This window comes from Homo sapiens, chromosome 1 (genome assembly GCF_000001405.40).
Source record: "Homo sapiens chromosome 1, GRCh38.p14 Primary Assembly".
Classification (NCBI taxonomy): Eukaryota; Metazoa; Chordata; class Mammalia; order Primates; family Hominidae; genus Homo; species Homo sapiens.
In genome coordinates, this window is record NC_000001.11 from 67,940,056 (window position 1) to 67,953,997 (window position 13,942).

At 42.5% G+C, this 13,942-nt stretch overlaps 1 long non-coding RNA gene across 1 annotated transcript in view; it reads left to right on the plus strand.

The window, feature by feature from the left end:
* GNG12-AS1 (GNG12, DIRAS3 and WLS antisense RNA 1) overlaps positions 1–13,942 on the plus strand; it is a 370,700-nt gene that overhangs the window by 107,768 nt on the left and 248,990 nt on the right. The gene's annotated exons all lie outside the window — the stretch shown is intronic.

Genomic DNA, 13,942 nt, shown 5'->3' on the forward strand with positions numbered 1-13,942 from the left:
TGACAACTGTGACACAGGAACTGATTGGCCAGAGTTTCTAGTTTAAAGCTGGCTGCAAATCAGAATCTCATTTCTTTCTGCCAGACTCTCAGCCAGGAGCTTAATTAGCTAGAAGGGTCAAAAGGACTGAACTTCCACACTGTAATCCTGACCTATAGTTCCTAACTCTGGAAGCCTTTTGGGGTACTCCAGCCCTGGATATCTAACAAAGAGCTTCAGGTTCAAAGGGACATGGGACAAGGAGGACTGGGAGGCATGCTGGGGGTGTGGGAGGTGCCACCCCCAGGGAAAAGCAGCTGCCAGCAGGACACAGTCCTTGCAAAGGGCTCTGACTAGGAAAGCAACCTGGTGGCTTGTTTACATTCAACTGAAATCAGACTAAAAAATTAATTGCAGCAAGGTTCCCAAAAATGTTTCTACTTTTTTCCATGAAGGAGGACTGAAAGCTCAGCAAGAATTAAAATGGTATCTCTTATAGCTACCACTTATTAAGTGCTCTTCACAGCTGCAAGTCTGCATACACTTTGTATATTCCTTACAAGAATCCTGCAATGTATGTGTGATTATTCCTACTGGATAGATGAGGAAACTGAGCTCAAAGATGGTAATTAAGGTGGTCAAGAGCACACAATAAGTACGTGGAAGAGCCTGGAATCAAATTTAATCTTTTTCTATGACCCCTATGCTTTCTGCTCTCTCAGTGTTCTAGTTATCTATTGCTGCATAATAAGCCACCCCCAAAGTCGGTGGAGTCAGTCAGCAACCATTTTATTATGTTCATGCTTCTGTGGGGAAGGATTTAGGCAGTGCACTCATCTCTGCTTCACAATGACTGGGGCCTTAGCTGGGGTGGCCCCAAGAACTAGGAGAGCTAGCTCAACTAGGGCCGTCTGTCAAGGGCTTCAGTTATACTTTCTGCTGAGTTCCTCCATTTTTCCTCACATTGCATCTGCTGATGTCCAAAGTGGTACCCTCACATATCAGGTGCTTGGATTTAAATGGCTGGAACAGCATCTCTTTCTCTGTCTACCAAGCCTCTCCACATGGCTAGCTTGGGCTTCCACATATCAGGAGGGTCTTAGGATAGTCAGACTTTTTACATGGTGACTGGCTTTCCCCAGACCAACCAAAAGAGACAGAAATTAGAAGCTTCCAGTTTCTTAACTACTGACACCAGCAACAGGCACAGTATCACTTTTGCTGTATCACATTGAACAAATGAGCCACAGAGCCTGTCAGAGTGATAGCTTGTCAGACTCACGGCCACAGAGCCTGTCAGATTCCCTTAGATGCGCTGTGAACATCACCTCTGCTCTTTACCAGGCACCCTGCAATGAAGGAGCTTTTCACTCAAATTACGGTGTTTTGCCGATAATGATAATGATTCAATTTTGTCTCAATTTTTAGATTTACAAATAGCTTCCAGCTATTTCTCTGATATGAGCTTCACAATAGGTCTTTAAGACAAGCAGAACAGATTGTACTACCCTCACTTTAAGGAAACCAAGCTTTCAAACAGCAAAAAGGCCCACCAGGTTATATGGAGGGTAAACTCCCAGCCCACCTGACTCCATGAAGCTCGGCTAGCTGCGGTTAAGAGCTCTCTCTGCCGTACCCCTGCTCTGTTAATGTGCTCTAATTTGCTGTATATTATTATTCTGCAGCTCTTAAGAAAACTCATTTCCAGAGGGCTTTCAAATTAATAGCTCTGTTAATAAAACATAGGGCTAGAAATAACTTTATTTCACTGATTTTAATGATGAAGAAAGACGTGTTTTACTTCTACTGAAGTTAAACATCTATTTTTTTAGTTGAAGTAAAATTCACATGACATAAAATTAACCACGTTAAAGTGTGCATTTCCGTGGCATTTAGTACATTCAGAGTGTTGTGCAACCATCCTCTCCATCTAGTTCCAAAACATTCTCATCATCCCAAAGGCCCAGTGTTTTACAAAACAAAATTTATATAATATTCACCTTCTACTTAGAACAAAATGCTTTGTAGATAATTATTAATGTTTGGTTCTATTAAAATAAAATAAGCTCAGTCTTTGGACTCAGGCTAACTTAGATTTAAATCACAGCTCTTCAGTTTTCTAACCATGTGACTTTCAGCAAGGTATTTAGCTAAGCCTGGTTTCTCATTCCTCATACGAAGAAATAATGATGTCTACTTAGATGGGAAATTGTGGGGACCAGTGAGATAATGGACTTCAAGCACCTCTTACAGTGCCTAGTTCTTAGTGTTTGCTTAAGTGAAGGTAGGTGTTATTCATAGTATTAATGACCAGAAATGTGTTATAGGACCTTTGGAAAACCATCATAGCCCTCTGGGCCTCAGATCCCCAAGTGGAAACTGAAAGTATGGCCCTAAACAACTTCTAAGCTCTGATATTTAAGATGATGAAATATCTTGCAGGTTTATTCTCCATTCCAATGTTTAAAAAGCCTCCTGCCAATTTCCTGTTTTCCCCACCCCTGACACACACACACACACACACACACACACACCACATACACACAAAAAATCCTATTTCCATCCTCATTCTGATGACTTTATTTTTAACAGCTTTATTGAAGTATACTTGACAACAAAAAACTGCATGTATTTTACATATTTGACATATGTATAAACCTATAAAAGCATCACCATAATTTTGATAATGAGGATCTTGCTATCCCTGCAGGTTTCTTGTGACCCCTTTGTAATAGTCTCTCCCATCTCTCCCCACTCCTCAGTTAATAGATTGTTGTGATGTGCTCATATTTGTCATTTTTGTTGTCCAACATTTGCAGAGACATGGGTTCCATAGGGCAGGACTATGTATATTTTGCTTATTGTTGTATCCCTAGCAACTGTACAATACAAGAAAACAGAGGTTGCTCAACAAATATTTGTTAAATAAATGAATAACCCCTCTGTTCCTTTACTTTTGATGCAGTGATACTTTAGCTTTTTTCTCTGTCTGCTGTGGTGATCAATGCCTAGACAGGAGGGAGCTCTAGGGGCTGGCATGGTTGGGAAAGTTTCACAAAGGGAGAAAATTGCTTTGAGGCTCTGATGATGAAAAGGGTTTGTTGAGGAAGGCAAAGCTAATGGCTTAAGCACAGGCCAGGAAGGAATCTGGGAAAGATGCAAAAGTAAGGATTGGATCAGAGGTAATATAGTGACTGACATAGCTGACAAGTGGCAAGGATTAGACCCCTGGAAGTGAGGGAAACTGAAGCCTTTCTGAAATAGGAAAACAAAAATAAAAACAAAGCAAGAGCTGCTGGTACCTTGGCTGGGAGTCATAAGATATTAGAATTGGCATGGAGATTCAAGATTAGACAAATACCCTTATAATGCAAATGGAAAAGATGAAGTCCAGAGAAGTGAAATGAATTTCTCCAGGTCCCATAGTAGACTAGTGGGAGAATCAGGAAGAATCCAGTTTCTTATTGCCCACTGGGCTTCATTCATTCATCTTTTAATGCTTATTTATTTAATTAATTGATTGAGCTCTGACAATATGCAAGTACTATGCTAGGCACTGGGATTACAGAGATCAAACATCGTTTCTGGGCTGGGCATGGTAGCTCATGCCTGGAATCCCAGCACTTTGGGAGGCCGAGGCAGGCGGATCACTTGAGGTCAGAAGTTCGAGACCTGACTAGCCAACATGGTAAAGCTCCAGCTCTACTAAAAATACAAAAGTTAGCCAGGCTTGGCGGCGCACACCTGTAATCCCAGCTACTTGGGAGGCTGAGGCAGGAGAATTGCTTGAACTTGGGAGGCGGAGGTTGCAGTGAGCCGAGATCATGCCACTGCACTCCAGCCTGGGCCACAGAGTGAGACTCCATCTCAAAAACAACAACAACAACAAAACTATATATAGTTCCTTTGAATGAGCTCATGATGTAGTGAAAAAAGGGTTAATTATACACTGTTTAAAATACAATGCGATTGATAATCATAGGTAGAGCCCAATGTTTTCGTGAGGAACCATGGATTCACCAAGAAGGTCTTCTCAGGGAGGGATGTCTGAACTGTGTTGCAGGGTGAATAGGAAGGAACAACAAGTAGTAGAGAGAGAACATTTAGAGCATTAGAAAGAGCACATGCCAAGAAACCCAAAATACATTGGAGAACTTCCACTGATTCAAGATGATAGCAGGCCGCCGGGTGTGGTGTCTCAAGCCTGTAATATCAGCACTTTAGGCGGGCAGATCATCTGAGGTCAGGAGTTTGCGATCAGCCTGGCCAACCTGGTGAAACCCTGTCTCTGCTAAAATACAAAAAAAAAATAGCTTGGTGTGGTGGCGGGCACCTGTAATCCCAACTACTCAGGAGGCTGAGGCAGGAGAATCGCTGGAACCCAGCAGGTGGAGGCTGCAGTCAGCCGAGATTGCCTCATTGCACTCCAGCCTGGAGGTTGCAGTGGGCCGAGATCCCGCCACTGCACTCCAGCCTGGGTGACAGAGTGAGACTCTGTCTCAAAAAAAAAAAAAAAAAAAAAAAAAGATGATGATGGAGGGGAGGCTGAGTACAGTCTAGCCATGAAGGGCCCTATACATTAAGGAGTTTGACCTTTTCTCTTAAAGCCATGGAAAATCTTTGAAGGATTTTGCTTGAGGGCTATGATGGGATTTGCCTTTAAGGAAGTTTGCTGGTTCAGGAGCATGAGGAAGAGTGGAGGCAGTCATGCTGGAAGTTGGGGGAGAGAGGTGGTGGAATCATACCTCCATGGAATGATCTTTCTGAAATGCACATCTGACCAGTCACTTCCCTGTTTAAATTTTCCAGCAGCTCCCTGTTCTCTATAAAAGCCAGTCCAATCTGGGGCTTGACCCACAAGCCATTTCATAATCCTAGCCTCACTGACTTTTCTAGAATTTTCTACTGCTTCTTACCCATGGCCTCCTTCCCTATGCCCCCTTATCCTAAGACCCAGCTCTACTGCTATTTACTGTTCTACTAAAGTACCAAGACTTTTTAGTCTTCCATGCCTTTGCACTTGCTCTTCCCTCTTTCTAGAATGATCACATCTGTCTTTTCTGCTGGCAGAACCTTCTTATTGCCTTCTCCAAGGCTCCATTCAAGTGTCTTCTCCCCTGAGAAGCCCCTTCTGACTGCGTTAGGAAGATTTCACCACTGTTTAGGTAATGTTCCCATTTAATCTAGTTTCTGTCTTAGTAAAAAGCATTTGCAATGCTATAGTGTAATTGTGTACATGTCAACTTATTAGATTGGAAGCTTCTTGAGGTCAAGGATATTTTCATCTCTGGAATCCCCAAGCTTCCTGGGCTTTACCCCCAGGCCAGTGAATGGGTCTCTGGGGTGCCTAGGCATCTGAATTTTTAACAAGTGCCCCTCAAATGATTGAAGGAAGGGACCAGGACCTGATGGGTATTATAGGAGGACACCCATATAAGATCCTGACTCTCCCCGCCCCATCTGAATTCTGTCCCACCAAAATTCATACATTGAAGTGTCAACCTCTGAGTACCCCAGCATTTGACTATATTTGGATAGGACCTTTCAAGAGGTGATTAAGTTGAAATGAAATCTTTAGGGTGGGCTCCAATTCAACCTGACAGGTGTTCTTATAATAAGAGAAAATGTGGACACATACAAAGAGACACCAGGGTTGCACCCATAAATGAAAGACCATATGAGGACACAGTGAGAAGGCAGCCATGTGAAGGCCGGGGAGAAAGGCCACAGAAGGAACCAACCCTGCCAACAATTTGATCTTGGATTTTCCAGCCTCCAGAACTATAGGAAAAGAAATTGCAGTTGTTTAAGGTACCCAGTCTGTGGTACTTTATCATAGCAGCCCTGGCGAACTAATACACCATTGCAGCTCTGTCCCACAGGCTGGAATGCTTGGGATTTGCTCTGTATCTGCTCAAGACAGTCATTTTCTGATACACAGTGGGAGTTATTAGTTTCCTCAAGATGTGTTGCTTATAAGGGAATTCGTTTTGAGAGACATATCTAGGACTGCTGGGCTGCAGAGAGAGTGAGGGTACTTTAGCCATTCAGTCATGCATTTTCTCCTCCTCCCCAGCTACACTCAGAGGATATAAAAAAACCATCTGGCAGATGAGGGCCCTGGCGGTTACCATGGTGAGGCAGAGCAGAGCCGGGGAGACTGGGGTATGTATCGCTGTCCCTGACACTTGAGCCCAGTGAAATGTCAGCCTGGCTTGCGTTCATTTTGGATAATATTTTTATCTGACTTTTTTTCCCCCAGCTAAGTTATTTAAAAGACTTGTGTAGGTCCAGTTCTGATCACTGGATGTTTTCACCTACAGAAAAAGCTCTTTGAGAATAAGGACTAAATGCCTTCCTATTTTATTCCCTCTTTCTGGCGTCTTGTCTACCCCTCCCGCTATCCCCCACATTCCCTGCAGAATTAAACCAGTGTCTATTACTGAGTTGATATTCAAGAAGTATTTGATAGGTTGAGTTGAATTAATTAACCTTTGGAGAAACTCTTGTTTTCATGTTTGCTTCTGATTTTTAAAGCCACTGACAATTACCTTCACTGGGAGTGTCTAGTTAATTCAAGTGGCAAGTTCCAGTATGTGATATATAGCTGCCATCAGGGTTGAGACCTGTGAGCAAGGTGCAGGGGTGCCAGGAATTTAGTACAAGACAAAACCTGAGTGTCAGGGCTCTATACTCAGTTGGACTTGGGTTTGAATTCTGGGTCTGTTGTCAACTCCTTATGTGACATGGGGACAGAGACTTCATTTCCCTGGCCTCCTTCATTGTCTTCAAAATGGGGATCCTAATCATACCTGCTTCCTGGGGTGCCTGTGAGGCTTAATAGAGATAGTGTGACTAAAGCTTTGTATCTGGCATCAATGAGTGGTCCATAAACTATAGCCATTATTGTAATACTATTAAAAGTTTTTATTTCAGTTCTGCCCTTAATTCTGTGAATTTTGGTACTTGTTTCCCAATCTCTAACATTTCTGGAAATGTTCTGTCTCAGTAAGGTAATGTCTGGGGGCAGGTGTGGACAGCCACAGACCTCTACCTCCTCTCAGGCCATCCATAGGTTCTCTTCGATAATCATAGGGTGTCTGAGGCTTCTAGTGGCAGAAATGTCTGGGGAGGGCGATTGGCTGAGCATGGAGAGGTTTCCGAGGGTAGGAACCTGACAGCCAGGAGAGGACCAACTCAGACCAGCTTGGCCCAGACTCAGGAGGCTGCAGCCGCCAGCAGGGCTGTGTAGGGAGGGTGGCCTCATTGGCATGCAGTACCCAGGCTCTAGGAAGTATGAGCCCGTCAGGGGGTAGCGAACAGCAACGGGTGTTGTGGAAACAGCTGGCTTTGCCCCACTGTGATTCTAGTCCACTTTTTCTTTCCTTCCTTTTATTCTAAATCTTAAAGAGAACTACCATATGATCCAACAGTTTCACTACTGGGTAAATAACCAAAGGAAATGAAACTAGCATATTGAAGAGATATCTGCCTCCTCATGTCTCTTGCAGCACTATTCACAATAGCCAAGATATGAAATCAACTGAAATGTCCATCAACAGCAATCCTTATCCTGTTTTCTCCCCTTATGTTTATTTCCAAAAGAGCAAAGGCTTGACTGCAGCTTCGTGTAATTGCTTCTAAATCATAATGGATCTATTTTCCTTTTTGCCAAGATTGAACCATGGTAAATTTGTAATGATTTACTTACAAATAGAGCCACAGGATTGATTATAATTCAAGCTCTTTCATTCTTTAGCTATGTGGCCTTAAGCAAGTTACTAATTTTTGCATTGTCTGTGAGCCTTGATTTTTTCCTGCCAAACCTCATTCCTCCAGTCTTTTGCATCTCCAAAAAAGGTGCCACCATCAATCTATTTGCTCAAGTAAGAAGCCTAGGTACCATTTTGAATTCCTTTCTTCCTTACTCCAACTACCATCCAATTCACTAGCGATTCTTACTGATTCCACCACTGAAATACAGGATATCTCAAAACCATGTAGTTCTCCCGCCTCCACCATCACCTGGAAGAGGCCACCAGCATCTCTTGCCTTAACTTTAACACCCTCCTCACCAGTTGCTTGCTACTGTCTTTGTCCTTCCTCCACTTATAATATGTCTATCTCAATGCCAGCCAGAGTGATCTTGTTAGAATGTAAATTAGACTATGGACTGCCTCTGCTTACAATCCTTCAACCTTTCCACTGCATTCAGAAAAAAATCCAAACTCCTTGTCACGGTCTATGTATCTCTGCTGACCTTTGCAGCTTCTTTCTTGTCCATTCCCTTCTTTGCTTTCTACATTCCTGGCATGTGAGTTGTCTCACATTTTCCCAGATGTTTCTAGTTTCTATTGCCTCAGAGTCCTTACACACTCCAATTCCTCTGCCTGCATCAGTGGACCATCCACTTTTCACATTCAAGGGTCTTTCTTATACTTCAGGGCTCTGCTTAAAATTTACCTCCCAGAAAGACCTTTCTCCATTTCCCCCATGCAATCCAGAGTAGGGCCCCTTCTCCTCCCCCGGCTTTTCTCTATATTTGTGACCAGTTAGTTTCCCTTAGAGCACCTATCCCCATTTGTCATCGTTCTCTGTTGTTTTTTTGTTTGTGCTTTCCAGTGGAATATGACCCTAATGAACTACAGACCCTGCTGAGTGCCTACTGGAATGACTGCAAATACATAGGAGGTGTCCAGTAAAAGAAAAGAAAAGGAAAGGAAAGAAAAGAAAAGCCTCTTAGCTTCCTTTCCTTAACCTAACAGATTTAAACCTTCCCTGCCTTCCTTTGGTTGAGCTTCACCACATACCTTTAGACTTGCTTTAAGGAATACATTCCTGCTAAAGAGATTCATTGAATTTCTACCATGTGTCAAGCATGGTGCTAATAAATGTGATAAATCTGGAAGGAGAAGGCATTCTGGTATAGCAGAGAGAGGAGCTTGGCTTAGGAGTCTGAAAGACCCGGATACTGCCAGCTCCTCTCAACCAGCACACCACTGGTAAAATGTTACTTTTCTTGGCCTCATCCCCTCAAAAACAAAATCCAAATCTTAGATGTCCTGCTTACAGGTCCCCACAGGAACATTCCCATACCCTAACATTTATCATAGTAAGTAATAATCTGCTTACCCTTCTTTATTTTCTACTAAACTCTCGAGGATTATTCATCTTGCTCACTATCTCCCTCACCCCCTTTTACACATGCTGTATTGGAAGGCTTAAAATTTCTGGAGCTGCCTTGAAATCTTTGAGCCTCACAGAGTCCTGGAGGCCTAACTTTGTGTCCCCCTCCTCTTGTCAGATGTGCCCCTTGCCCTGCACCCAGTAGGGAAGATTCTTCTATCAGCCAGCTCAGTTGCATTAACCTGGCCCTCAACCTAAAATAACAGGTTTCACCTCCCTACCAGCCCATGGAATTATTCAAACAACAAAGTACACCCTCCCACAGGAATCAGGGGCCACCTCACCCCCTTGTCACAACACAGCCTGCCTCCCAAAGCCCTGTTTGTTCATTCTGTTGAGTATAACCCCTGTGTGGTCCTGCAGGGTATGCAGTGCCTTCTACCCCAGGCTGTCAGTATATGTGACTAATGAACTGCTGTCAATCGCATGGGTCCAACGTCAGGTGTTGTGTGCTTGGCTATTCTCAGAGTCTTAGGGCAACACTCCCTCTTTCACCAGCGGGGCAAAGAGGAGGCAACAAAACACTCATATCCTCACATGCCTGCACTAACATACACACAACAAGAAGTATGATAGTGATGTAGGCAAAAAATAGTAACCCCCATAGGTTTGCAGATGAAACAGACTCCTGTTACAAAAGGCAGCTTAACAAGAGAAAAACAACTAGAAGCTTATTAACATTCATATGTCACATATATGTGAGAGATACCCAGAGAATGAGTAGTTCTTGAAGAAGTGGCTTTGAATTCCAGCTTAAGTAGCATTTTCAAAAAACAGTACATTTTTAGAGAAGTGACAAGACAAAGGAAAAGGGCTTTGAATCTCTACAGCTGGCAATGTGCGGAAAGGTAAACAAATGGCAGATAAAGGCTGGTTTGTAAAGCTTGTTAATATAAATCCCTCCGGTATCATTTCCAGGTGGTGAAGGTCTAAAGCTGTCTTCAGTGGTTAACCTGTGTTCACCCTGGTGGAGAGGGGACAAGGTATCTTTTGCCTTTGTAAATCTATGTTTTGCTTTTAAGCAAGTGGAGGGAGGGCAGAGAGCTCTATCATCCTGGAGGAAGCATCTGACAGACTCCTGCCTTGGGATGACACACTCTTAGCCACAGCTTTCAAAGCCCTCCTGAGTCCTCGACAGACACTGCAAATTGATCATGGTACTCTTTCCTGCTGCACCTGGACTTTGCCCCAGAATCATTCTCCACTTGCTGAATGTAGTCATAAGAGATAAAGCCTATTTCTCACTCGGCCCCAAACTTCCCGTGATCAGTGTCCTGTGATGAAGGAAACTCTGCGGCTTATAACTACATTTGTAGCGCTCAGCTCTGCATCCCACTCCCAGTACCGGGGCTCAGATCATCCAAGCTTCTTACTGGAGAAGAATCTCACTCTAGGAAATTTTTAATGTTTTCAATGTCATTGGTCATACATCTCAATTTTTCCGTACCTTAATGGCTTCTTTCACAGACTCTCAGCAATGCCATACCATCTTTCTGTTCCTCTGCTGGTTCTAAACTGGGTTAGACTCACATGGAAACAAGCAAATATAATTGTAAATTCATAATTATGTGATGTGGTAGAGAGAACTCAAGGTTTACAGTCAAGGTAGACTTCCCTGCCTCATCCTTGTTGAGCTGTGTGACTGCAGGCAAATCATTTGTACATCTCTATATCTTGGTTTTCTCATTTGCCAAGTGAGGACAATAATAATATCTGTCCTCCCAATATCATGTATCATTACATATGTAACATTAATATAACATATAATGTTACAAAGTAGCATAAATGAATAACATTTAAAAAGTTAAACCTCCAAGGTGTTTAAAAGCAGCATACGGGTATTTCTTGCCACTGCAAGAAAAAATCTGCCACTTTTCTCCAGGGTGGCTGAATAAATAGGGCAGCTTTTCCAGAGAGGCAGCCATAGTAGACATTCCATTATGCTACTGCATATTCAACTAGAGTATAAAATGTGAGCCCTCAGCCTGGAGGTGTTAATGAGTTGCCACTTAGAAGGACCAGGGAAGCAAATTAAGTGCATATGCATAAAGCAGTCAGAACTGCCAGCCCTCCATGCTGTCTGGAAACTGAGCTGCTCAGGCCCTCATCCTCTGTTCATCTCATCCCCTGATTTAGCAGCTGTAGTTGGTGGACCAGGTTCATGTGAATAAGACCATTGGCTTTTCTGCCTCCACTTCCCAGAACCATCTCACTCCAGACCCTGTCTAAACTAGTGAAGTTGAACACATCCAGTACTTGGGCTCATCATCAGAGAGATGGAGGTGGGTTGGTCACCAAGAGGTAGGATGCCCACTTCATTGTTGCTGAAAAACATGCTTTAAAAGCTTCCTAAGATTAATGATAGTTACTTTTCTCTTTTAAGTTATTTTTTCCTATATGGTTTCTGTTTTCTACAAATTCCCTGTTTCACTGTTGATTAGTTTTGGTCTGCATCATTTAGGTAGAGTCTTTCTTCAAGTATCTGCCAATCTTGGGCTGTCAGCATGTATTTAAGAGAAGGATATTAAAAAGCCAACCAGAGACTTGAAAGAGCATGAGTGGGGCTGGGGGCTTCATGGCAGAAGGGTCACAATCAGCAACATCAGTATCTCTGTGTCTTTTCTCTTTGACTGGTTAGGTTACTCAAAGAAGGCTGTTCTTTGAGTCTCCCATCCCCAGCTCCATATCTAGCCTGGAGACTGCCAGCCTTCTGAGGACCTGGTGGAGAAGGGAATAAGGAGTCCTTAGAATTCAATATGTAGATTTTCATCAAACCTTACTGTTTCCAGTACATTATCCCTGCCCTACACCCAGAATGGGGGCTAGATGGCCACCAATCCAGAGTCCATTTGGTTCACTGTCTCCAGAGAGTCAGTTTCTGTATTCTGTTTCAAGGAAAGGGGCACTTGTCAGCTTTGAGAAGCAATAGAGGTTATCCAGGAGTCTAAGTGCACTGTAAATAGATTTCCAACCGATCTTGTGGTTTTCAGCCCCCACTTCTGTCCCATCTCCTCACACTTTCACAGATCCCTGATGCTGCCAATTATGGAGTCCTGGATCTCTAAGGTCCCTATCAGCTTGCTTTTGGCCTCCCTCACTGCTGGCTGAGGATTCAATGTTCTGAGGTTGCTGAGTCAGTTGCCCTTTATCCTTTTGTCTTCCAGCTTCAAAGATTTTTTTTTTTTTGCTTTTTTTTCCCTCTCATGTTCTCAAAGGTTTATACCTTTAAAAGAAAATCCCTTTCAAAATATTTTTAATGGGACTGAAGGATCAGAAGAAAGACACATGTGTTCAATCTACCATCATTAACCAAAAGAGAGAAAATACCAACACAAAAAAAAGACATAGAGCACATGTGACGTGTGTATCTTGGCAAGATGCTGCTGCCAGGGATTCAGAGCCAAAAGGAGAGCCCAGGTTTCTTATATCACCTGTTTTCCTTAATGCAATCCCACAAAGTAGTACTATTTTCCATATTTATTAAGAAGGAACAAGTAATAATAAGAATTAGTATTATTGACTCTCTAGTATGACCAGCTGTATGTCTTTTAGGGCTTCCCTACAAAATACCACTGACTGAGTGGGCCTTAACAACAGAAATTTATTTTCTCACAGTTTTGGAGGTTCAAAGTCCAAGATCAAGGTGTTGACAAGCTTGGTTTCTCTTGAGGCCTCTCTCTTTGGCTTGCAGACGGCCATCTTCTACTGTGTCTTCATATGATCTTTTCTTGGTGCACAAGTATTTCTGGTGGTTCTCCTTCTGATAAGGACAGCAGTCATACTGGATTGGGGTCTCACCCATGTGATCTAATTTAACCTTAATTACTCCCTTAAAGACCTTAACTCCAAGTACAGTCAAATTCTGAGGTATAGGGGGTTAAAGACTCTAACATATGAATTTTGGGCAACACACAATTCAGTCCAGAACTAATCTGGTCATTTTATTTCCATTTCTTCATTTATTTCTCACAATCAGCCGAGGGTTAAGTATTATTATTATTATTATTGTTATTATTATATATGAGGAAACTTCTGTTTAGAGAACTTAACTAACTCTTAGACTGCACAGCTAGAAAGAGATTATGTATTTTGTTTTCTATTGCTGCTGCAACAAATTATCACAGTCTTAGTGGCTTAAAATTACACAAGTGTATTATCTTACAGTTATGTAGTTCAGAAGTCTGAAATGGGTCTTACTGGGCTAAAGTCAAGGGGCCAGAAGGCCGCATTCCTCTCTGAAGGCCCTCAGGAACAATCTGTCTCCTTGCCCTTTCCAGCTTCTAGAGATTGCTCGTGTTTCTTGACTCAAGGTTCCTTCCTCCATCTTCAAAGCCAATGCCAGCAGGTCAAATTCATCTCACATTGCATCACTCTGACCTTTTCTGCTTCTCTTTGTGATTATAATAATATATTGCTAATATGTTATTTATAACTATTAATAATATATGATATAATATTGTAATTTAAGGACCTTTGTGATTATAATAGGCACACCAGTGTAATGCAAGGTAACTCCCTATCTTAAGGTCAGCTGGTTAGCTACCTTAATCCTCTTTTGTCATATAACAGAATCATCTTATGTTGGTATTAAATTGTATGTTTCTTTTTCTTTCTTTCTTTCTTTCTTTCTTTCTTTCTCTTTCTTTTTTTTTTTTTTTTTTTTTTTTTTGAGTTGGCGTCTCGCTCTGTCACCAGGCTGGAGTGCAGTGGCACAATCTCGGCTCGCTGCAACCTCTGCCTCCTGGGTCCAAGTGATTCTCCTGGCTCAGCCTCCTGA